This window comes from Homo sapiens, chromosome 15, assembly GCF_000001405.40.
Source record: "Homo sapiens chromosome 15, GRCh38.p14 Primary Assembly".
Taxonomy (NCBI): domain Eukaryota; kingdom Metazoa; phylum Chordata; class Mammalia; order Primates; family Hominidae; genus Homo; species Homo sapiens.
The window spans coordinates 53,715,798-53,742,551 of NC_000015.10; the positions used below are offsets into that span (position 1 = coordinate 53,715,798).

Genomic DNA, 26,754 nt, shown 5'->3' on the forward strand with positions numbered 1-26,754 from the left:
AGAGCAAGACCCTGTCTCTTAAAGAGAAAAAATTAATAGCAACAACAAAACCCAGGTTCCTTGCCATAGCAACAATGCTGTATGTTAAAAAGAAATAAAGTATTTGAAGGGCATTTGAGGATTATTATGCCAAATAAGTTTTGGAAATCTTTTATTAAAGATCAAGTAATGCATTCTACTTTCAACCAGCTCTCTCTGTGCAGGGTTTTATTTCCAAAAAAAATAGAAGAGAGTTCATGAATGTTACAATGCACATCAGCAACACTAAGAGTGTAAAATATTTTAAAACACGGTCAGCACCATTGGAATCATGCAACCACACTACATATGCTTGGAAACCATCTACTAAAAGCCAAGATTTGCTTTAAAGATTGGGAAGTGATTATAAAAGTTATATACAGAGAAATTAAGAACCTATCCACCAAAACATAGGGTTTAAAATTGGAAATGAGGGAGAAAAAAACTGTGTGTGCTTTATAAGACAGCACATCATTAAAACTGAATTTTTACACATGTACAAGTATGTGTATGTTTTGTAGCACTAAGGCAATATATGGAAATTGTCTTTCAAATCTGTTAGAAAGATACAAAAATGAAAGAATCAGGGGGAAAATCTGCTTGAATAATACTTTTTGGGAAAGCAAAATGCCAAAACAGCAGACAATTACTGGTGATATTTGACCCTCATGACAAAATAAAAATTCAAGCAAAGAATATTCTCCAAAGATGTTTCTTTAGAAGTGTATTTGCAAATGCCCTAAACAAGTTGCAGAATCTAGAAATGCCCTGAAGGAAGTGAGTGTACTTACACAGATTGCAGTGTGCCTGTAAGGAAGTGTAGCCTTCTCCATGCACTGTCCATTGGTGACATTCCAAACACACATCTCCCTAGCAGAAGATAACTTTGTGTTATTCTCTGTCATTTCCACTCAATTGGCTGGAATAATTTTTGTGCCACCAAGTTTTTCTTTAGCAGCCTGATCATTTATGTGGCTTTTTGTTACAGATTTTGGGCAAGAAAATGTTGTGGTCATTAGCAGGGATGACATACTGTATCTGTATCTTTTTGTTTGGGTAATTACACCCTGCTGCCAGCCTGCAAACCTTACTTTAGAGACAACCTGGCCTACAACAAATTGTGGGGATACAGCTATCACAGCCTGTTAGTGACAGTACAACAATCTTTCAGTGGAAACTGTATCCTCTTGAAAATGCTTTATTTCACTGAACTTAAACTACATATTCTGAAAATCACAATGCATCAAGCGCTGCATCTTCTGAGGCCAATGTATCATTTTTGTAAAAACAAACAGTGCCACCAAGAGGCTACATTTGGTCTATCATCGATAACAGTTTATCTCTGCTTCTCCTGATTTGAAATCCTAAAATCATCCTTGCCACTTAATATTTAGAAAAATATTATTATTTTGAAAACTCTTACTTCGTTTATGTATTACAAAGACATAGTTTTAAAATACAAAGTACACCCAGCATAGGGTAGTTTATATGACTTCACAAAAATCAGAATGGCTGTTTCAGAATTGTTTGGTAATATTCTTCAGTCTTGAGAGTTTTAACACATAAGCAAAATTTTCCATGCAAGAAAAAGAAAAGTTTTATAGGCCTTAAAGGAGATACTGCCATTATACTAAGAAACAAAATATATAGACTAATAATGTCAACAACTGTATGCATTTGGTGATTTGCAGGCTTTTTTGTTTTTCTAACCAACCATGGGAACTCAATCTTCTACATGAGTAGTTCTTAAAATGGGGCAATTTTGCTACCCCTTATTCCCCCTACATTCCAAGGACACTTGGTAATATTTGGAGATATTTTTGGTTGTTGGAACTAGGAACACACTAGTGGCATCTAGTGGGGAGAGGCAAGGGATGCTGCCAAATATCCTACAATGCATAGAACAGTACCCCACAACAAAGAATTATCTGTTCCTAAATGCCATTAGTACTGAGGTTGAGAAATAATATTCTAGAAATACACACAAAATATTCATAGCATTTTCCCTCTGTTTATATCCAGCCTCATTCCAAAAAGATTTCAGGTAACCTGAAAAGACATATAATTCTATAAAATAGGAGGAAAAAATCTCTCTGTGTGTGTCTGTGTGTATGTACTAAAAAATAAGATTGGGAGGAAGGTAGATATTGAAATAATATATCTCAAAGGGAAACAAACTAATAATGCATCTATAAAATAAAGAAACATATTGCAAAGGTAAAGTAATTGAACCTTAAGCAGTCAACATTATAAAATTTTAGCTCTTTAAGGGATTTGAGCTTATTAACAAGGTTTTTGACTCTAGCTATGCATCAACAACCACCTGATACTATTCCAAATATTATCTCCAGAGATTCTAATTCCATGACTCTGTGTTGGGATCCTGGCATGTGTGGTTTTGAAAAGCACCTGGTCAGTCGACTTGTTTCTAGCCCATTTCTAAACCAGTAGCTCTAAATTCTAGCTATACATTAGACTTATTTGAGAACTTTTAAAAAATACTGATGGCTGACCATGCAGATATCAAATCAGGCCAATTAATTCACATTTTCCAGGATTGGAACCTGGACACCAGTAAAAGTTCCTTTAAAAATATTAATGTATTTAAACCATCTTGGATCCCATTGCTTTCCCTATTTGTTTGCTTATCATTTTATTTTCTATATTAAATCTGAAAATAAAATGAAAATATATCACAAAGCAAAAATTTGCTCTTTGCCTATCAATTTTGCTTAATAAAAGAAAGCAAATTTGTGGTGTATGAAATGGAACACTGACATCTTACCTGGAACCATATAAGTTACATAGGTAAAAATAAGACATGAAATTGAACTATTAAAAAACATAATCTTTTCATTTTCTGAAGCTGTCGCCTAAGTTTGTACATAGCTAAAATCACATTCTGTTATAAAAAAATTAAATTTAAGAATTTTTAAAACCTTAATAAATTTTAAGAATTTTAAAAATCTTAAGATTTTTAAAAATTTTAAAAACCTTAAGATTTTTAAAAATTTTAAAAATCTTAAGAATTTTTAAAAGCTTAAAAATTCTTAAATTTTTATTTCAATGAAAAGAAAACAGCAGATGAAAGTGTCTACGACATATAACATTAGAAAATTGTTATATTCTCACTACAAATTCCTTGAAAAGGGGAATTTTTTGGTCTTACTCAACTTTACATCCCCACCTCAGCACCTCAATAAAAATTTGTTCCATGGATAAATACATCAGCCACCATTCTTCCATACACTTTCTATCTTTTGGAAATATATTATTTTCTCTTGACCTCATTCTTATTTTTCATATTTGTGTGCTTATAACACTATAGTTTTGATCAAACTTTAATGAAGTGTCTGGAAGGAGAGGAGATAAACATGAATGCTTGCTTTGCCATCTTGCATTGGAAGTCTATTACATTTTTCAAACTCTTTTCCCTTGTCTTTTATTATACTTTCATTTTTTCTTTGGCATTCTCAGCCTCCTCTTCTTCCTCTGTCTGCTTCTTAAGTGCTGGTTTTCCCTAGATATTTGTCTTATACTTTCTTACATCCTTATATTTCACTCTCTTCCTGGGTAAGTTATCTACTCCCCTGGCTTCAGGTACTGTTATTATGCTATTGGAAGCCCAGAGCGGTTTACTTCAGCTCTATATTTCTATAGGCAACTAGCTTTTAGACATCTCCACCTGTGTGACTTTCAGGAGATCACACACTTTCATGTTCAATATGAAGCATAGCATCTTCTCTCTTTGGTTCATTATCTCAATGAATGATATCGTTACTAATAAATTTCCCGTAACTCTTGACCCAACATTTTCTCTCACGCTCCCAAATGTGGGTACTTGCTACTTCAAATATGGGCTCTGGGCCAGCAGTACCCGCATAGTCTAGGAATGCTTTGGAAACGCAAGTTACTAGACCCTAGCCCAGACCTACTACATCTGTATTTTCGGTAGTGGGGCCCAGAAATCTCTAATTAAACAAACTCTGCAGGTGATTCTGGTGCACGCTCAGGATTGAGAAGCACTCACCTAGCGGCTTCCAAGTCCTGGTGCCCTACTTCTCTGGGCTCATCTCTTGCCAGTAACTAAACCTTTATTAATAAGTTATAAACCTTTCTATTGGGGCCAAGGCTTTTTGCCTTAAAATTTTATTAACTATACATATATAAAAATAATATAGTCATACCAACCTTATTTTGATTAGTATACATATGATAATATGTAATTGGAATGACTATTTTATTCAGATTTATTCTACTAATTTATTTTGTGCTATTTGTCCCATTTTTTAAAAAAAATTGTTTTCTTTGAATTAAACATTTTTTTAATTAAAAGTTACATACTCTTTCTTTTATTTTTTATTTCTTTTGTCTATTGTTTCTGTAGCTACTAAACAATACTTGAAACGTAAACATATAAATATAGCTTAAGGTCTAAAGTCAATCAACATCTTTACCCACCTCTAGAACACCAGAATGTGTGGGATCTTATTACTACATTATTATATGCTATTGTTGACCAGAATCGCGTGTGTGTGAATGGGTGTATATAAATATCATTATGTCTTATAAAGTTTCTGCAGCTTTGCTGGGTTTTGTCCAAAATTCCTTCTTCCATCTCAAATCTTCCTTCTGAAATCATTGTTCTTCTTACTAAAGAATATCATTTAGAAATGTGTTATTATACTTATCGTGAGTCTGTTGGTATAGTGAGTACCTTTAGTTTTTGTTTGTCTGAAGGTTTATTATTTTGCCCCAATTTTTCAAAAGTGTTTTTGTTGGATATACAATTCCAAGCTGACAGATATTTTCTGTCCACTTTTTGAAGGGATTTCACTGCTGTCATTACAGTTGGGAAGTCAGCTCTCTGCTTAATTAACACTCCTTGGTAAATAAACTGCTTTTTCTCACTGTCTACCTACAGGATCTTCTCTTTTTCTTTGGCATTCTGTTGTTTTAACATCAGATCTCCAGTGGTTTATTTTCATTATCCTAGAATTTTCTGTGATTGCTGAATCTGAGGATGTATGCCTACAAATAAAATAATAATTTGAGAAAAATATTAAACACTGAGCCATAAAGCAACTCTGGGTCCCCTCTGGTCACCATAAAGGCAAAAATGCTAAGTCCATAGCCAATATCTGGGACTTCTCAAATCTAAATATGCATTGTTGTTTGGAAAATAATGGGGCAAGCCTAGTAGGAGTAATAATTTCCAGTGAATAAAGTTAAGACTTGCTAAGAACACAGTAGCTGAAGCATAGGTACTACCTGAAAAGTATCTTATAGATACAGCATAAGTTTTAGAAACCTCAAAAGCACAAAGTTCTAGAAAATTCAAATCAACTTGGTGAAGGAGGACAGCTAGGTAGACTGAAACTAGACTCCCAGGCTCTTCAACAATATTTACAGGGCTCATACAGCAGAATTCATCTTTCATCAAAAATATATCCATTAACCCCTAGTTTCTCTTTTGGAGTTAGATCACTATGGGCAAAGATCTGAAGCTGAAACTCAGTAACTTTTCAGACCTTTTTCTCAGTTAGCTATTATGTATTTCTCAATTTTTTCATGTAGCCCCAGAAAAAAATTCACCATCCCCAAAATTCTCTAGATTGGGAATAAATATCTCAGCATGTGTAGCAGACTTTGTGGCAGCCCTGGTGAATGAAAGCTACAAGCAAAGGTTAAAAAAGGAATGTATTAGGACATTTCACTTTAGACTTATCCAAAGTTCAATCCCTCTAAATATTACAATTAATGATTTACTATAAGCTATGAAAATAGGTATCTCTTTGATACCTGTTCAACTAGCCAGCATATTAAACTATTCTGTTTATACAAGCTGGACCTTGATTCCTCACTATTCTTTTGGTTTTCAGAATTCAGAAGCGTATAATTTCTCTTTGTATTAAAAACAAAAGAGAGGCTTATCTTGTTTCAACTAGAAACCCAATCCCTTATTCATAAATGCATATTGAATTGATATGACATTCCTGAGTATATTTTGGAAAATAACTCATCAGGAGCCTAGTTCATAGTATTTCTTCCATCAGTGGAACTTTTTCCTACAGGTAAGTCCTATTTCATGAGGGCAAGCTTTGCTCCCGTGACACTGCACCCAAATCACTGGCTATGTTCCTTTTCCATCTCTCTGCCACCATTCTACTGATAATTGAGTCCTCTCCTCTGTGAGATTTATTTATTTATTTATTTTTATTTTTTATTTTTATTTATTTATTTATTTTGAGACTGTCGCCCAGGCTGGAGTGCAGTGGCGCCATCTTAGCTCACTGCAACCTCTGCCTCCTGGGTTCAAGTAATTCTCCCTCCTCAGCCTCCCGAGTAGCTGGGATTACAGGCATGCATCACCATGCCCAGGCCAATTTTTCTATTTTTAATAGAGTCAGGGTTTCGTCACGTCGGCCAGGCTGGTCTCAAACTCCTGACCTCAGGTGATCCGCCTGACTCAGCCTCCGAAAGTGCTGGGATTACAGGCATGAGCCACCGTGCCCGGCCTGTTAGTTTTATAGTAGCATCAGACAAGGGTACAACATGAAGACTGTAACTATTAAATTGTTTTGTAAAACTATGAAAGCTTGGATGGGTTTGCTTAAGAGCTCAAAGTGTGTTACTACATGAGAAAAGACAAACACCTAGACTTTTTCATTGCTGATTCTACAATACTAGGCATTGGTCACTGACCCTCACCCAGTAAGAGTGCTACAAGTTCTGATACACATGTTGAGATGCTTAACTTGGTCCCAATCCAGCAACAAGAGTATTGAGTGAGGGTTCATAATACTGATTACATTCCTTGGGATCATCACACAAGTTATTCAAACTTTCTATATCTAAATGTTCCTATATGTGAGAGGCACATGTTGATCACAAAGGTTTCCTTCAGCCCTAAAATTGTATTCCATTGTAGTTTTTAAAAAGGGAAGGAAATGGAGAAGGGGACAAAGTTTACATACCATACCTACCCATTTTCAGCAGCACTAACAATGTAGGGCTGTTTAGAGAAGTCCCTTGCTCTTGCCAAACATGTTACCGAAGCTGAATGACCAAATAGGAGTTCTTTCGCTGAAATCTGAAAATAATGAGAGTGAGCTTTTAAATAATTGTAAACTGTTTGAAGAATAAAAACACCACAATATAGTATTCATAACTCTGATTAGGAAATTCTGTTGTTTTTGTTGTATACAAGTTTTAAGAAAACTGATATATGTAATAACAACATCCACAGAGTAATAAACTTCTAGGTAGAGGAATTGTGCTGTAGACAGGTTTTGTTTGTTTTGGTTTGGTGTCCATCATGAAACCTCCATGACTGCCAGCCTGTCTTACAACAGCTAGGTTGTGAATACAAATAAGTCTGTGTTGATGCTTCCTCTGAACAAAATGTCCCCTCAATAATAGTAGCACATTAATGTTCAGAGTTCAGAATTCAAAATAACTTCACAAAATAATACAAGAGAAAATATTACCCTTTTTGAAACCACCATAATACCCTATATGGTGATAGGAATGTAAATTGGTACAGCTATTTTTAAAAACAGTATAGAGGTTCCTCAATAAAAATAAAAATAGAACTTACACATGGTTCAGGATTCCCACTTCTAGGTATATACCCAAAGGGAATGAAACCAGTATCTCAGAGAGGTATCTGTACCCCCATGTTCATTGTAGCATTATTCACAGCAGCCAAAATATGGAAACAATCTAAGTGTCCATTAACGGATGCAGAGATAAATAAAATGTGTCACATACAGTCTTCCCTCATTATCCATGGGGGACTGGTTCCAGGACACAGCTGCCCCACACCCCATGCCCCATCACTTAAGTACCTAAATGCCAGGATGCTCAAGTCTGCAATATAAAAGTATTGGCATATAGCCTATGAACATCTTTCATATCCTTTAAATCAGCTCTAGATTACTTATAATACCTAATACAATATAAATGCTATGTAAATTGCTTTTATACTATATTTTTTAGGGAATAATGACAAGGGAAAAAGTCAGTACACGTTTAGTACAGATGCAATCCTCTTTTCTTTTTCCAAGTTTTCAATCCACAGTTGGTTGAATCCATGGATGCAGAAGCCATGGACATGAAGGGCCGACTGTATACACAATGGAATAGTATACAGCCAAATAAATAAAAAAGAAATAAATCCTGCCATTTGTGACAACATGGATGGACATAGAGGATATTACGCTAAATAAAATAATCCAGACACAGAAAGACAAATACTATATGATCTCACTTCTATGCAGAACCTAAAAGGCCAAACTCATAGAAACAGAATTAGTGGTTGCCAATGGCTGGGGGTGAGGGAAGAATGAAGTAATGTTGCTCAAAGGGTACAAACACTGAATTACACATAAGTTTTGGGATCTAATGTACACATGGTGACTATAGTTACTACTATATGGTATACTTCAAATTTCCTGAGAGAGTAGGTCTTAAGAGTTCTTGCCACACACACAAAAAATGATTATGTGAGGTGATAGATGTGTTAACTAATTTGATTGTTGTATTAGTCCATTCTCACACTGCTATAAAGAACTACCTGAGACCAAGTAATTCATGAAGAAAAGAGGTTTAACTGACTCACAGTTCCACAGGCTTAACAGGAAGCATGACTGGGAAGCCTCGGGAAACTTACAATCATGGTGGAAGGTGAAGGAGAAGCAAGCACATCTTATCATGGCAGAGCAGGAGACAGAGAGTGACGGGGGATGTGCCACAAACTTTTAAACCATAGGATCTCGCGAGAACTCACTCACTATCACAAGAACAGCATGAGAAAATCACCCCCATGATCCAATCACCTCCCACGGGGTCCCTCCCACAACATGTGGGGATTACAATTCAACATGAGATTTGCGTGGGGACACAGAGCCAAAACATATCATTTGCGGTAATCATTTCACAATGTATTCATATATCAAATCATCACTCTGTACATCTTAAACCTATATAATTTTACTAGTTAATTACAGCTCATTAAAGTTAATATAAAAACGACTAAAATTCCATTAGTCATAGACTAAATATCAGACCAGTTACCATGGAGGAAATTTTAGGCTTCAAGTTTCACTTCTAAATTATCTATATTACCTAAAATTTCTAAAATTAAAACATCTTTCTTATTTATATAAAAAATAAGAAAAGATCAAGAAAATAAGAAAACAAGCCACAGATTGAGAGAAATATTTTCAAAAGTTATACCTGATAAAGGACTATTATCCAAAATACACAAAGAACTCTTAAAATTCAACAATAAGAAAGTTAAAAACCTAATTAAAATATAGTCAAAAGATCTGAGCAGACACCTCACCAAAGAAAACATACAGATGGCAAGTGAACATATAAAAAGGTGCTCCATATCGTATGTCATAAGAGAAGTGCAAATTAAAAAACAATGAGAAACCACAGCACACCTATTAAAATGGCCAAAATCCAGAACATTGGCAACATCAAATGCTGGCCGGGATGTGGAGCAACAGGAATTCTCACTCACTGCTAGTGAGAATGCAAAATAGGACAGCCACTTTGGAAAAGAGTACAGTAGTTTCATATAAAACTAAACATATTCTTACCATACAACACAGCAATCATGCTCATTGATATTTAACCCAAGTAAGTTGAAAAGCTGTGTCCACACAAAAATCTGTACACAAATGTTTACAGTAGCTTTATCCATAATTGCCAAAATGTGATAGCAACCAAGATATCCTTCAAGTGGTGAACAGATAAATTATGGTACATATATACAATGAAATATTACTCAGCGCTAAAAAGAAATCAGCTATCAAGCCATGAAAAGACACGGAAAAACCACTGATGTGTATTACCATATGAAAGAAGCCAATCTGTAAAGGTTTTATGATTCCAACTATACGACATTGTGGAAAAGGCAAAACTTAGCAGACAATAAAAACATTAGTGGTTGTCAGGGGTTTGTGGGGAGCAGGAGATAAATAGATGGGGCACAGAGAATTTTTAGGGCAGTGAAACTATTCTGTATGATGCTATAATAATGGATACACCAACCTGGCTAACAGGACGAACCTCGTATCTATTAAAAATATAAAAATTAGCCAGGAGTGGTAGTATGTGCCTTAATCCCAGCTACTTGGGAGGCTGAGGCAGTAGATTTGCTTGAATCTGGGAGGTGGAGGTTGCAGTGAGCCAAGATTGCACCACTGCACTACAGCCTGGGTGACAGAATGAGAGTTCATCTCAAGAAAAAAAAAAAGATACGTGTCATTATACATTTGTCAAATCCCATAAAACGTACAATACCAAGAGTGAACCAATGCTTGATGATATGTAAGTTAATTGGTTGTAATATATATATATATATGTGTGTGTGTATATATATATGTATGTGTATATATATATATATGTATGTGTGTATATATATATGTATGTGTGTATATATATATATATATATATACACACACACACTGCTCTAGTGTGGGATGTTAATGGTGAGGGAGACTGTGTGTACACGTGTGTTGGGAGGGGGGCGGGGCTGATCAGGTATTTCTGAAACTCCCTGTACCTTCCAGTCAGTTTTGCTTTAAACCTAAAACTGCTTTCAAAAATAGTCTATTGAAATACTTTTTAAAAATATCTTATTTATCTTCCTGCCTCAGAAATACTAAAATTAACCTTCCTACATTACAAACAAAATTTTAACTAAATGATTTTTTAAAATATCGATGCTGGCCAAGCATGGTGGTTCATGTTTATAATCCCAGCACTTTGGCAGGCAGAGGCAAGAGGATCACTTGAATCCAGAAATTCAAGACCAGCCTGGGCAATGTAGTGAGACCTCATCTCTACAAATAATTTTAAAAAATTAGCTGGGCATGGTGGCGCACATCTGTGATCCCAGCTACTCAGGAGGCTAAGGTGGAAGAATCGCTTGAGCTCTAACAGTCAAGGCTGCAGCAAGCTGAGCTCATGCCACTGCACTCCAGACTGGGTGACAGAGTGAGATCCCATCTCAAGAAAAAACAAACACCCAATTTTAAAAATATGACACTAAGGGCTAATTCCCCTATCTCATGTGTGAAAGAAGTAAATTCCTCATTATTTTGTAAAACAAGATGATGAAAATTAAATTACAAAACAGAAAACATGTAAGATCTCCTCAGATGGAGAAAGTTGTCAATAATAAACCAAACATCGCCCCGGCACGGTCGGTGGCTCATGCCTGTAATCCCAGCACTTTGGGAGGCTGAGGCGGGTGGATCACTTGAGGTCAGATATTCAAGACCAGCCTAGCCAACATAGTGAAACCCCATGTCTATTAAAAATACAAAAATTAGCTGGGTGTAGTGGATCTCATCACTGCACTCCAGCCTGGGTGACAGAGTAAGACTCTGTCTAAAAAAAAAAAAAAAAAGACCAAAAATTGAATTTGAATGGCTAGCAAATGTCTTGTGGGTAATAAAAATCTATTTTCCAAATGAATTAATATCTATTATGTTTTTTCTGAACTATACGAACATATGTAGATGGTAACTCAGCCATATTAATGAGGACAAATTATTTCATGACATAATTGTTCTCTGCCTTTGTATCATTTCTATCATAATCAGAAATATTTCCTTCTTAAAAGAGCTGTTGTCAGACTAACTTTTTAGTGCTACAAGAAGTGTTTTGTGGTTGATTAGAATCCTGCACAATTCAAGTTCGCGCTACCTTTTTCCTGAGAAGTCCAGAAGGTTCCATCTCAGAGAACAACATACTATCTTTCCCTGTCATCACACTCAGGGGTGCATATCCCTGTGCATTTAATCCCTTTCCAGTCTATTAGAAGCCAAATTAAGCAATCAATGAGGGAACATCAAGGATATTCCCTCCTCCAGAGAAAATCTACCATGGACAAAATATCAGAACAGAACATCATGGCCTTTCATATGAAGTCCTCATTCTATTACTAAATCCCCACATATATTTGAATAAGCTGTGACAGTTCACTAAAATTTCCTCATTTACCATATTGTAGAACTGCTGTGAAGAATAACAAAATTCAAAAATTCTACAATCACACTTAGTCACTGTCATGATGAAATCTGCAAGACCTTTCCTGTTGTCCATTAGCTCTACTTTTATGAAGCATTGGTTCCTCCTGACCACCACCATCACTTCCAGGTACTTCCAACAGCACAATGGGAGACTGAAAAGAACACACAACTTGATGAATGTATTAGTCTGTTTTCACACCGCTGATAAAGACATAACTGAGACCGGGCAATTTACAAAAGAAAGAAGTTTAATGGACTTACAGTTCCACATGGCTGGGGAGGCCTCCCAATCATGGTGGAAGGCAAGGAGGAGCAAGTCACATCTTACCTGGATGGCAGCAGGCAAAGAGAGATATTGGCAGGGAAACTCCCCTTTTTAAAACCATCAGATCTTGTGAGACTAACTCACTTTCACGAGAATAGCACGGGAAAGACCAGGCTTATGATTCAATTATCTACCCCTGGGTTCTTCCCACAACATGTGGGAATTGTGGGAGATACAATTCAAGATGAAACATGGATGGGGACAGAGCCAAACCACATCAATGAACATCTACCGTATTCCAGACAAAAACACAATCACAGAGTAGTGTTTAAATCCCCATTTCACAGGTGAGGAAATTGAAGCTCAAAGAATATAAGTCATTTGCCCAGTATCACAGTGTTGGTAAATATCAGGGCTGGCACTTGACTAAGATCTCCATTCTTTGTCTCCACACATTGCTCTTCTTCATTTTATTGTGTTTCCTTCTGAGTATTAGACAGGCGGAAGAGCAGAACATAGCAATACTAAGGGAATCTATCTGACAGGATATTCACCACACCTTTCTCTATGCTTTTAAGAAAACAAGCAATCAATGCCAGAAAACCCAAGTAAAGAATTTGCTGCCACGGGATTTGGAGAAGCTCCTCACTGGTAGACTTCACAAAATTCTGGGGAAACTAGAGGGCTATGGGAGTCAGACTTCGAACTCAAAGGCAGCATGTATAATCTAGGCATGCAGTGAGAAGCCCAAGGCAGGGAGACACTTATTCTCTAGCTCCCCTGTGCCCTGCCATCCCACTGCACATGGTCAAGGAAAGACTGAGGCACATCTTCAAACCCCTATTGAATACTTGGGCACTCTGAGACGTGCAGAACTTACACCACCTTTTTTCCTTCCCTATTCCTATTCTCCAATCCCCTTTATTCCTTATGCAAATGAATAATACCATCATTCTACCAGTCCCATCCAGCTCCCAAACCCTAAATCTGGGAAAGATCCTTGGCTGTTCCTGCTCCCTTACCCTACATCCAATCAGTTTCTCAGTTCTGTCCATCCTCTCTTCTTAATGTCTTTTCAGTTTTCATCTCCTCTTCATCCTCACTGCCATTCATTTGGTTTATCCTCAAAACCTTTCTTGAGTAAATTACAGTAGAAGTCTGCTAGCCATAGTCCCTGTCCCTGATGTCAGCTCCCCCTTTCTCCAATATGCCCTTCACATTGCTAGCAAGTGATCTTCTAAAACCCAAATACAATTGAATAGTATTATGTCATCTTCTCACATAAAATATCCTCTAAAGCCCTTAAAATCACCACTGCTTTTAATTATCATGTGCTATTAGCTCTATCTAGTGAAAAAAAAACAAAACAAAACTTACAAACCCCTCAGCCTGTGGGATTCCATGCTGGACCCATCCTGTCCTTTCCAGATGAGCCTGTCACCTCTAATTCACCATGTATGCTCCAGGTCTACTCAACTACTTTTACCAGTTCCCTTAAGGCAAAATGCTCATGTCTTTCACACACACTTGTCATTGCCTGTGTTTGCAAACTCACCTTCAACTCCTGTGCATTCTTTAGAACTCAGCTCAAGCATCACTCTCAGAAAGGCTTTCCATTCAAAAACATAACAGGATACCACTTAACACCCATTAGAATGGCTATTACAAAAAAAAAAATAAAGTAACTAGCACTGGTGAGGATACAGGGAAATTGGTTGCCCTGTGTACTGCAGGTGGGAATGCAAAGTGTGCAGCCACCATAGGAGTGCCTCAAAAAATTTACAATAGAATTAACACTCCATAAATATGTACAAAATTATGTGTCAATTAAAAATAATTTCAAAAATAGAATTACTACATGAACCAGCAATTCCACTTCTCAGTATGTACCCAAAAGAGTTGAAAGCAAGGATACAAACTGTTATGTGTGCACCCATGTGTATAGCAGCATCATTCACAATAGCCAAAAGGTGGAAGCAACCCATGTATGTATCCATAGATGAACAGATAAACAAAATGTGGTATATATATACAGTGGAATATTATTCAAACTTAAGAAGAAAGGAAATACTGTCATATGCTCCAGCATGAATGAACCTTGAAGACATTATACTAAATAAAATAAGCCAATCACAGACAAATACTGTATGATTCCACTTACAGGAGATATATAGAATAGTCAAATTCATAGAGATAGAAAGTATCTCAGTGCTTTACAAATTCCTATTTACAAGTCTGTCTCCCATACTGGACTCCGAGAAACTTGGAGGAGGGATTTGTGCCTAGAACAAAAAGTACCTGTGTAGTTTGCCTAATGAAAGCGTAAATAAGTGTTCCTGGTTTGTTTTTCCATTTTGCATGGTGGCAAGCGAGTGTTTAAGACCACAGAACCTGATGTATTCTCTTACCTACATACTTTTGGAGGGGGAAAGAACTTTCCAAACTTAGTATGAAGAGAAAATAAATGGCTCCCTGTTCACTTTACAACCTCCCATGCCCGACTTCCTTCTCTTCTTCCTACCATCCTCTCCCTGAGATGCTGCCCTACGGTGACTCAGTCAACCATGTAGTTACATCCTTTTTTACAGTCTCTTCTGTCCTCAAGGACTCCTTTTTTTCTACCCCTACCCAAATTATTCCTTTATATACACATTTTTTAAACAAAAATAAAATTAAACCACTAAGTATTAACCCATTAATCTACTCACTTGACCACCTTATGGATAACAAGAGGATTTGTTGAGAACTGAAAAGTGCCCTTGATTTTTTTCAGTCTGGAGTTTTCCCTGCTAATAGTTGATTAGTTGCAATGTGGGGGGGCAAGATTCATGGGAAAATAAGAGATGCTATTTATTCAGTCTGGCTCTATGGTTAGCCGTAGAAAATGTTCAGGAAAATCTTTACATGGAGTATCTCACATTCATACGAATCAATAACTTCTTTGTGTAATTAACTTTTGCACAATGTCCTCACAGTGAATTTCAAAAACACAAAGCTGATCCCATCCCCAACTTAAATCTCCTCTATAGTTCTCGAGAATTCAATATAAATTCCTTCACTTGTCATCTCAACTTCTCCACGCCTAGGCCCGTCTTCCCCTCTGGCCTTACCTCTCTTTGATCCTTTTTCACACCTAGGTTAAGGCAACAAACAGCTCCTCCCTTTCCTCCAAGCACAGGCAGTCTCCTTAATGTAGAATAACTTTGCTTCTTCCACTCTCACCAATCTAATTCCTATTCCCAGCCCATATCTCTATCCCTGGATTTCTCTGTATCAGCACTCTGGGCATTTGGAATGGAAAAATTATTTATTGTGAGGAGCTGTCATGTGCACTATATGACCTTTGTAGTATCTCTGGCTCCACCCACTACATGCCACCTTGTCCTTCAATTGTGACAACCAAAATGTCTGTAGATAGTAACAGATGTCTCTTCGGAGGAAAATTGCTCCCTGTAAGAACCACTACTCTGAATCCAAGCAGAAGACTTGCTCCTAAGAGACCCATGGCATAACTTCTCCACTGAATATGGAGTGCAGACCATTCCCTGCTTAGAGTGCCTTATATCATAACTGTGCCACAGTAGCCAGTTTTTTTCTGTACTGCACTGTAACCTCCTGGGCAGCCAGCACCAGGTCTTATCATTCACATTTGAATTTACAAATGAGTACCCACCATACCACACAACTTACAGCATGCACTCAACAAATGTATGCTAAACAAAAGTTGAATAAATATTAGCAATGCCTTTATAAATATGAAGATGCTAGAATTCCAGATTTCTTAAGCTTATAGTGACCTACATATTATTACACAACTATTCTAGCCAGAAAATAATACACTTAAACATTAAAAATAAGTAAGATATTTTAGTCACTTAGAAGTTTGTGTTTAAACTATAATAGAAAATTAATGTTTTAATTTTCAAAGGGAGCCACTATTTTTAAAGCACAACTGTTGCAATAATACCCATCCTTCCTTCAAGAACGTTCATTAACATTGAGCTGAGCTGGTCTGCAATGCAGTTCTTGGCAGTCCTGTAGTAGAACTGTTCAGTGATGGGAGATGTTAATTAATTACACTATAAAATAGAATTACAATTAATTGTTAATTTAGGTTTTAAAGTGACAAACTTTAAAGGCTAAAAATAGTCTTTGATCTTTAAAAGGCTTCTTAATGAGGGCAGTATACTTTAACTACATCATTAGTTTAATTGTTCAAATTGGGTCTAGAGACTGCTAGAGTTAAGCAAATATCTATTCTGATACGTTAAATGTTTATGACTTGAGACAGGGACAATTAATTGCTAATCAATGGACCAAATCCTAGGTGAGGTCAGGTTCTGAAATAGAAGGATGACAATAGTAAATTGGATTTAGAGCATTTTGATGTGATCTGTAAAAATCACAGGCAGGCAGAGACTAAAAGAATAGCAAGAAGGCCAAATGAGCAGAAACACCCACATAATTAAGATATTACTCATTTAGTTAATCGTGGCTTTCAAGGGTGCCCTTTGTTTAGATTAATGAGCCATAATTTTTAAAATTATACTTACATGCCTGTAGTTCAGTTACTTAAACATATAATTCAGGATATAAAATAGTAAAACTCAGCATAGCTTAAAGGATGATAACACTTAGCTGTAGCTAAGATTAGCAATATTCATAATATAATTTTCAAATATAATCTTGATCAATCATATAATACTTTATTTTCTCAAAATTCAGAAGTAAAATCAATTTATTACTTTAATAAACATCTTTTTAACAATCATGCAAACCTTCCACTGTCATTGCAGATAGAAAATGCAAGTTGTCCGTATTTTGTGAGTGGTGTCTGTTTCAATATCAGTAGCTTTCACTAACCTTTAGTTCATGTGAGAGATTCCAGAGACAGAGCTGACCCTCTTGACTTCCAGTCACAATCGTTCGCTGGTCATCAGTGATCATGATGGCAGTGATGCTGTGGGGAGGGGCCTTCTGTCCCCAGAGTGCCACTGCCTGCAGGGAAGTCCTCATTTTGGGCGAATCCTGACATACAAAGAAGGGAAGAAGCATACATGGTCATCTTTTTGAAATTTGAGGAAACCGATAATATTACAAGCAGATTTATGATGACCAAACTTCAATGATGTGTTCTCCCAGTGCTATGGAAAAGGGTGTTTCCCCGTCAATTAGAAGAGAAAGTAGTCATCAGAAACTGAAATTACCATGCACACTGCTAATTCATCAAACAAGAATGACTTATCTTCGAATTCCTTATTATTGTTGAAGAGAAAGAAAGGAATGGTCTATTCACTTCACACCCAGCTCTTCCTGTGGCTACATCCAACTTGCTGCAAAGTCCTGCTGGGCCTCTCAAGAAGCATAGAGCTGTCTACATGGTATAATTTGAAGCCAGCTTTGCAGACTCTCTCTCCCTAGAAATGTTACCTCATCTAGGTAATAAATACCTGAAATTGGTGAATTTGCTATTAAAAAAATAAATCTTTTCCATAAAAACAGTGTTTCCTAGTCTTCAAGATTCATGTATGACTGTCATGATTTCTGCCATATTCTATTTTTAATAATAATTTTTATTTTACCTATTTTTATGTTTGGTATCTTCCTAAACAATAATCTTTATGAAATTACTACATTCATATGTTAGTTACAAGGGTTAAAATGAATACATAAGTATCAAAAAATGTTATCTATGACCACCCAAAGTATCACTCAGTGATGTGTGCATTATATTTTGTGAAACACTGAGTTAAATATTCTCCCCAAATTGTCATTCCTTCCTGAAACACAAACAATTTTGGGAGACAATTTAGCATTATATATTTAATCCCATTAAAAATGTCCGAAAGAGAGGAGAAAGGGGCCAAGCATACTTCCCACATTGCTTTGAGAAAGTCAAGAAAATGAAAACCTTCTGTCCTGCAGGATTTCTGTTGCTAAACCACCAAAAGTGTAAATACCAATATAAATTTTTAAAACTTATGATACATGTTATTTCTAATGTTCAATTATATGTCTACACACACACACACACAAATATATACATAAACATGGGTGTGCACTGACACTATGAACACAAATTTTCCTTGTAGTTCCATTGTCTGGAATTCAGTATCTAGTTCCCCATTTTCACTTCTTAGGTCAATATGTTAGTCTATCTAGTCTATAATACACTTGCATTATTCTAACTGCCATGTCCAAACACCATGAAGCCAAAGTTTCTACAGGAAATGTTCTGAGCATTGCAATTCTGAATACCAGGATTATACATATTAATCATACTACAAAGCTACCCAGAGAGTTCTGATTTCAATAATACTGTAACCAGAACATGGACCTTCTTCTGCTTCAAACACAGAGAAAAATGCATTATACCTATTTTTAAGTTGTTGCTTCCTGACCAAGCTTATCAATAAGTCTGGAAAATCCCAAGCAGTGAAAAACTAAGAGAAACCAGAAAACCAGTACAATAAGTATTAGAACTAAATTAGTATGTGGCTTTTTGGCTAGGAGTTTGCATATTAATCCCTATGTAAGGATAGGAAGCAAAACTCTCAGAAGTGGCCTTGCTCAATGAAAGAGGAACAGAAAAACTACCCCAGGAAGATAAGAAAGAGTATTTCCAAATCTCCCAAGAAAAATCTGTCAAGCCTGAAGTACAAATGGGTTGGGACTAAAAAAAAAAAATAATAATATTATATATAATTCCGGAATGAATTTCTTCACATGGGGATTCTGGAGTTATGTATAATACTTTTATAATAATTATATATAAAAAATTGTTTCCAGGTCAATGATACTATTGGGAGGCTTGTCAGAAACACTACAGACCTATTTGAATATCTAAATTTTTTTAAAAGACCATGACAAGTGTTAATGGCTAGGCGCAGTGTCTCAGGCCTGTAATCACAGCACTTTGGGAGGCCGAGGTAGGTGGAGCACTTGAACCCAGCAGTTCAGGACCAGCCTGACCAACATGGTGAAACTCCCTCTCTACTAAAAATACAAAAATTAGCCAGGCATGGTGGCACACACTGGTAATCCTACCTCGGGAGGCTGAGGTGGGGAAATCACTTGAACCCAGGAGGTGGAGGTTGCAGTGAGCTGAGATTGTGCCACTGCACTCCAGCCTGGGCTACAGAGCAAGACAGGGGGGAAAAAAAAGACCATGACAAGTATTAAGAAGAATGTACAGCAACTGGAACTCATACACTGACGGGGGGAACGTACAATGGAAAACAGTTTGGCAGAAATAGGTCAGTGATTGCTCAGGGAAAGAAAGAACAGGGAACAGTGACATTACAATGGGGAGTAAGAAAAGTTTTGAAGGTGGTAGATAAGTTCATTATTTTAATTATGGTAATGGTTTCATGAGGGTATACATATGTCAAAACTTAATCAAATTTATACTTTAAATGCATTTATGTATACACACAAATATTATGTGTGTCAATTATACTTCAATAAAGTTGTTTAATGTTGTACTTAAGGCATTCTGAAAGACACTCTCACTATCAAGAGTGAACGAGATTTCTGTAAAACAATTAGCCCCAGTAGCAAATAATCTTACAATAAAAAATTATAAAACATTCAAGATAAACCATGAGCAAACAGAAAGATTAGTACCCCAGGAACTAATAATAAGTGAACAATCTAAAACATATTTCAAAAGAAGAACAAATATAATAAATTATTATAAATCAATAAATAGACAAAAGATGAAATTAAAAACCCAAAGAAAAAACCTACAAAAGGTAGACTTTTAAAAGAAACAAATATTACTTCTAGAAATAAAACATAATCGTTAAAATATAACAAATCTCAAAAGGACAAATCAGAATAGACCCAAGTGAAGGGAGAATAATTAACTTGAATACAATTTTCAGGAAATTTCCCAGAATACAGCAAGAAGTCATTAAAAAAAAATGAAAATGTTGAGTAAAAAGAATTCAGAGACATTAAGATAAATCAGAGATGTTAAGAGATATAGATGCTAAGTGAAAAGACCCAATATTTATCTAATATAAGCTCCAAAAATGATAGAACCCTTTCCCTTCTTTGCTAATTCAGTCCTAAAGCCATGGAATATTAATAGAACAGAGCAAGAGTGGAGTGTTGGAGTTCAAATAGTATGAGGAGGGCATCAGGATAGGAAGACAGTGGAGTCAGAGGCCAGGGATGGTGAGTGAGGTGTCCAAATGTGGGGGCAGCTGCATGTAAGGTGCAGCCTCCAAGGAGGGTGAAGAGGAGTAATGTATACAGGGCTGTCTGGCACTGGGTATTGGAGCAGGAACAAGTGAGAAAGGAGCTCACATAATGAGGTTCCTCAACAAGGAGTGTCATGAGCCTAACAGGGGTGAGGACAGTGAAGGAAGTGGCCCTGCTGTGAGGGGCCAGAGCTTGGGCAGGGTGAGGAGGACATCAATTTACAAGGATGGTCTGGCACAAAGTGTTGAAGCCCAAGGAGGATAGGAAGGCATGCACACTGAGGGGTGTTGAGCATCCTGAGAGCACTTGTAGGATGAGAAAAGTTGCTGCCTGAAAATGTAATCAGATGTAGTAAAGGAATACAGGGATAAGCAGGATTTTCACATATTAGGCAGTGGACAGGTCCACAAGAAGTGTTAAAGCCAGAAAATGATCAGGAGGGCATCCACACAGAGGACAGGGTAGCACGTTTACAGGAAATTGGTTACATAACAGACTGATGGCAAATAATTAGTATATTGCTTATTTATAACAGGAATCAGATTTCTTACTGTTAGAAAAAAAGAGTTAGAAATATGGAAAGGAAAAAACTTGAATGATCCCTGTGGTACTGGAGTCGAATTAGAGGAACTGGTGTAAAACAAAGGTAGATGTAAAACACACACACACACACACACACACACACACACACACACACACACACAGACTTGCCATCTCTGTTAGCTGGAGTCTTGGGAGAAGCAACACTCCAATAGCAATGAGCTTACATAGCATCTCTAAATACTATTCTCTACTAAAAAGGAATCAGGTTTTATTGGGAAACTGGTTGATTCCAGGCCTGGAGCAGGGAAACACAAGATGCTACTGGACTAAATTGCTGTTAAAACAAGGAAGTGCTCAAATAGTGAGGATATATCAAAGGAACACAGAAGTCTGCTTGAAGGACCTCCCACAGGCCAAACCATGGACAATTTGAGCATCGGAATAAATAATGTTAGCAACAGAATGAATAAATGGATTAAACTTGCTAGTTAAAAGACAAAAATTATCAATTAGAATATATCCTACTATATCTTACTTACAAAAGATTCCTAAAATATTAACGTAGAAAGGTTGAAAATAAAGAGGTGAATAATAATGTACCAGGCAAATAGTAATAAAAGAAAACTGATGTAATACTGGACAAAATGGGCTTTAAAGCAAAACCACTGTTGGGGGAGGTGGTGGTCACTATATAATGATTAAATAAGTCATTCACCAGAAAAGGATAATAGTCTCTAGATACTCAACAGCAGAGTCTCAAAATACATAAAACACAATATAGCATAATTACTAAGAAAAGCTGGTAAATTAACTGTGACACGGAGAGATTTTACATGTTTCAATTAGTAATAAACAGATCAAGCAGACAACAAAAATTTAAGGATATTAAATACTTGAACCACATAATTTGTATTAGTAACATCACAAAAATATATAGATTCCTGCATCTAGGAATTAAATAAAAATACATTTCAATGAGACCACGCATACAACATTTATAAAACTGTGACCCTCCTGGACCACAAAACAGGTCCCAAAACATCTAAAAGGATTAATACCATTTAGGAAACATTATCTGACCACAATCAATAAAAATCTGAAATTGCCTCCTTCCCCACTCCTGTAACATATGCATAACACAAAAGTTTAAAATATTCCCTGTCTGAATGTTTGGAAACTAAAAAAAATTCTAAATGATCCCTGGGCTACCAAGAAAACATAATATAAATTCGATGTAGTTAAGACTCAAAAGTATGAAAACGTTGTATAATAAAATTTGCCAAATGTAGGTTTTGTATTAAAAAAATTACAGCCTTAAACACATAAATACATCAGTAAGAAAAAAGACAGCAAATTAATAAGTAAATAACAGCCAAATTAAAATCTTATATAAAAGAAGAGCAGGGTAAATACAAAGAATGCAAAAGGAAACAATGTAGACAAAACCATATATATTATAAAAACAACAACATATAAGAAATAATCTACAAATGAAACCCAGGTTTTGAAAAGAGAAATAACATGAGGAAATCTATGGCAAGTTTGATAAGGAAGGCCCTAAAAACATCAAAATTAATATACAGAGAAAATGAGTAAACTCAGATATCTTAAATGAGAATATTATTAACTTAATGCTAAAAATTTGGAAAGGTAAGTGAAATAATTTTTAGAGAAAATATAGATCACAAGCCTTTTTTTTGTTTTTGTTTGTTTGTTTGTTTGTTTGTTTGAGATGGAGTCTCGTTCTTGTCGCCCATGCTGAAGTGCAATGGCGTGATCTCGGCTCACTGCAACCTCCACTCCCGGGTTCAAGGGATTCTCCTGCCCCTGCCCCTGCCTCAGCCTCCTGAGTACTGGGATTACAGGCACCCACCACCATGCCTAGCTAATTTTTTTATTTTTAGTAGTGATGGCATTTCACCTTGTTGGCGAAGCTGGTCTTGAACTCCTGACCTCAGGTGATCTGCCCACCATGGCCTCCCAAAGTGCTGGGATTACAGGCGTGAGCCACTGTACCCAGCCAGAAAACACAGATTATTAAATCTGAATGAATAAGAAATAGAAACACAAATACTTGTAACCATTAAAATGGAATAAAATATGTAAAATTATGCACACACACATTTATTTTAGCAAAAACTTCATATTGGGTGTAATCTTGGGGAATTAACAGATACATTCTTATATATGAAAGCACATAGGACAAACCTACATAAATTCTCCTAAGTAAAGCAAAATGACAGCTCATTTAACAGCTCATTTATATCAAAATCAACAGATGAGAGACAGAAGGAGAATGAAGTGAAGAAAGTAGGAACATAATGATTTTCAACTGAAGTAAGCATCAAAAAAAAGTGAATCGGCAAAGAGAAAGGAGATCAAAAAGCCCACAAAACCTGCCATTAAAGCCGCAGAATCTGGCAGTCCTGGGACCCTTAGTGTAAGAGCAAATTGGCCTACATCTCTATCACTCCTGAGGGCTCCGCAGTCCTCTAAGGCCCGGACAATTACTGCCTCTGATGGCAACCACCTGTCTGAATAAAAGATGCTGAGATGTCCAATATACTCTACTATAAGAAGAGGGGGAAGTAGAAACTAGCAGTTTTAACTATTTCTAAGACAAGAGTTAAATAGATAGTAAGTTTCATTGACAAGGAAAATTCACCTTTGGGGAAAAGCTCACTCTCATGAATACCAGATAAATTGGATACAAGTGAAGACTGCAAAGCAGGTAGTGAGAAGGACACACATGGGCGTGTTTTAACATTCTGCTCCTAAGAACTACTGCTCCTGACTTTGTATTGCTCTTTTCACCACAGCTTTTAGTATTGAGACAACGAAAATCACCATACAAAAATCATTTGACCTTCATTCTTGGCTTGGCTAACGTGTGCTTAGCTAAGAATTAAATAGTGATACACAAGGGAAAGCTTCTGGGTCACACTGCTCCAAAGGAAACTGGGCATTTTTTTACGGGCAATGTGCACTTTGGCTCTTGTCCAAGGACTTGTGTCATTTTTTAAACTTTACCTAGGAAACTAGTCAAAGAAATTCACCCACCCTGCTGAGTAGAACAGTAGGAGAAGGAAATTCCGAGGAACATTTGCCAGGTAATTAATATATTTGTAATGATTAACATTACACTAAGGGATAAATAACTCTTGAGGTGCAGTATTTATATTCCTATTGCTCTGGAAAATTAGCTTCTCTTACTTGAATCTTTGCAACACTGTCTACCCAGTAACTAGTCACCTGTATTCCGGTTTTGTATCTCCCTGAAAATTATCCGCTCTGCATTGATGTCTCCCTTAATGAAGTGATACACTTCCCCCAAGGATAGAGATCAGTCCTTACTTACGTAGCATATTGCCTATCCCATAGCAGAAAATATTCTTTTCTACTGAAAAAAATTGATTCAACTAATTTTTTTTTTTTTTTTTTGAGACGGAGTCTCTCTCTGTCGCCCAGGCTGGAGTGCAGTGGCGCGATCTCAGCTCACTGTAAGCTCCGTCTCCCGGGTTCACGCCATTCTCTTGCCTCAGTCTCCCGAATAGCTGGGACTACAGGCGCCCACCACCGCGCCCGGCTAATTTTTTGTATTTTTAGCAGAGAACGGGGTTTCACCGTGGTCTCAATCTCCTGACCTCGTGATCCGCCCGCCTCCGCCTCCCAAAGTGCTGGGATTACAGGCGTGAGCCACGATTCAACTAATTTTGATGCTTCTTCCTTCTACATTCCTTCTGAAATATGGGAATCATTTCTTAATCACTCATCTATTCCCTACAATGCCTGAAGAACAGTGCTTTGAAGATAGGGACAAAATAAATATTGGTTGAATAAATTCCTCTTTTCATTATTTTTAAGCTCTGTATACCAAAAGAGAGGGAGTGGATTAAGAGTGTAAACTTGAATCAGGCTAGACTTAAATTTGAGCCATTTTGTCCCTCTGAGCCTCAGTTTCCTCATCTATAATATGTGAACAATAAAGATACCTTACAGGGTTGTTGTGAGAATGAAATGAGATCATGCACACAGTGTGGAGCAGAGAGCAATACTAATAACTTACTACTATTATTTTTATTTTGGCTCTCATACTTCTGGATAATCCATATGTCAAACTTTTTCACCATAACACTTTTGCTTTATTCTTATTCAAATTAAACTGACATCAACTTCACTTTCAGTAGATTATAAATTTTCTGAGGGCAGAGACTTCTGTCTCATTTGTCTATTGCTATAATTGCAGGGCCCAGAGCAGTTTCACAGGATATAGTTCTAAAGACTCACGTATGATAAAACATCCCCCCATTCAAATATTTACAAATGTTATTGTATTGTTAAAAGACAAGGAATTTGGAGTTTATGGAGGTGAAAGTAAATCAAAGCATTTCACAGGTTAAAAACCTTTATAGCCACAGGATTCCTAACACAACCAAATTAGAAAACAAAATGGACCAAGGTCAAAGCCACAAGAAATCAGATCCCTAGAATCGATCTCGAACAATCCAGATTTGCTATGTGTAGTGCAACATACCTGAAATTCAGAGACGTACTTCCAGGGCTGCTTTTACCATTTATAACCGTTATTACCACATTGTAAATACCGTAATTAGTAAAATTAGGTTACTACCACCTGAGCTGCCTACATTTCACTATTCTTATGAGGAACAAATACAATGATGTAAACAAAAGCATATGGGCAAAAATATACATATTATGCTATCATTATATTACCTTGCATATTTTACTCATAAACTCCCATAGGATTTAGAGCAAGTGGCCTTGGATCATTAATGTAATCCCCCCCTCACTTATAAGAAAGCTGATGATGAGAAATGTGATCCAGATTTTTTTTTTTTTTTGGATTAAGAGTCTTGCTCTGTCACTCACGCTGGAGTGGTGGCACGATCTCTGCTCACTGCAAACTCTGCCTCCCAAGTTCAAGCGATTCTCCTGTCTCAGCCTCCCGAGTAGCTGGGACTACAGGCACCTGCCACCACACCTAGCTAACTTTTGTATTTTTAGTACAGATCGGGTTTCACCATGTTGGCCAGGATGGTCTCAAACTCCTGACCTCAAGTGATCTGCCAGCCTTGGCCTCCCAAAGTGCTGGGATTACAGGCATGAGCCACTGCATCTGGCTTGATCTAGATAATTCTTACGATCACTTCTAATTCTGAGATTCTGAGAAAGACCAAATGAATTGTACAGTGAGGAGAAAGAACTGATTAAAAGCTTGCACATATCAGAAGTCACTTTCTTCAGACTCTTTATCTTTCCCCAGCAAAATTTAAAAAGTAACCCCAGAAACGTAGTGTCTTGCTATCAATAGGATAGAAAGCAAATCCATGTCTTCTGATATCCCTAATAATTCCCTAGGAATCTCTAAGTGAAAATAAACCTCAAAGGAAAAAACCATTTTATTAAAAACTCTCTATAGAATCTCTGTGGTGCGGAGGAGAAAGTTATGTTCCTGACAGAAGTACACCTGTTGTGTTTCAAATAATTATGTGTCTAGACAAGTTTTAAAGAAGTCTTTGGAAAAAGATTACAAACCTCTATCATAGCCCTCAATTTATAATTATTGTATACCAAATTTGAGTACCTGAATGATATTTTGGGTGTCTAAAGCAAGCTGGTAGGATTTTGTAGGATAATTTTTAAATC

The 26,754-nt window shown here is 36.6% G+C and overlaps 1 protein-coding gene across 8 annotated transcripts in view; it reads right to left on the reverse strand.

The window, feature by feature from the left end:
* The window catches only part of WDR72 (WD repeat domain 72), a 249,138-nt gene that overhangs the window by 202,057 nt on the left and 20,327 nt on the right, over window positions 1–26,754 (reverse strand). For all 8 annotated transcript variants that reach the window (NR_102334.2, XM_011521436.3, NM_182758.4 and 5 more), the window contains 3 exons: window positions 17,200–17,364; window positions 7,005–7,111; window positions 810–888 (listed from right to left, as the gene is read on the reverse strand). Coding sequence is in view for 7 of the 8 variants with exons in the window: in XM_011521436.3 (XP_011519738.1) it covers window positions 810–888; window positions 7,005–7,111; window positions 17,200–17,352 (339 nt within the window). In the remaining variant the exon portion in view is untranslated. The remainder of the gene's footprint in view (window positions 1–809; window positions 889–7,004; window positions 7,112–17,199; window positions 17,365–26,754) is intronic.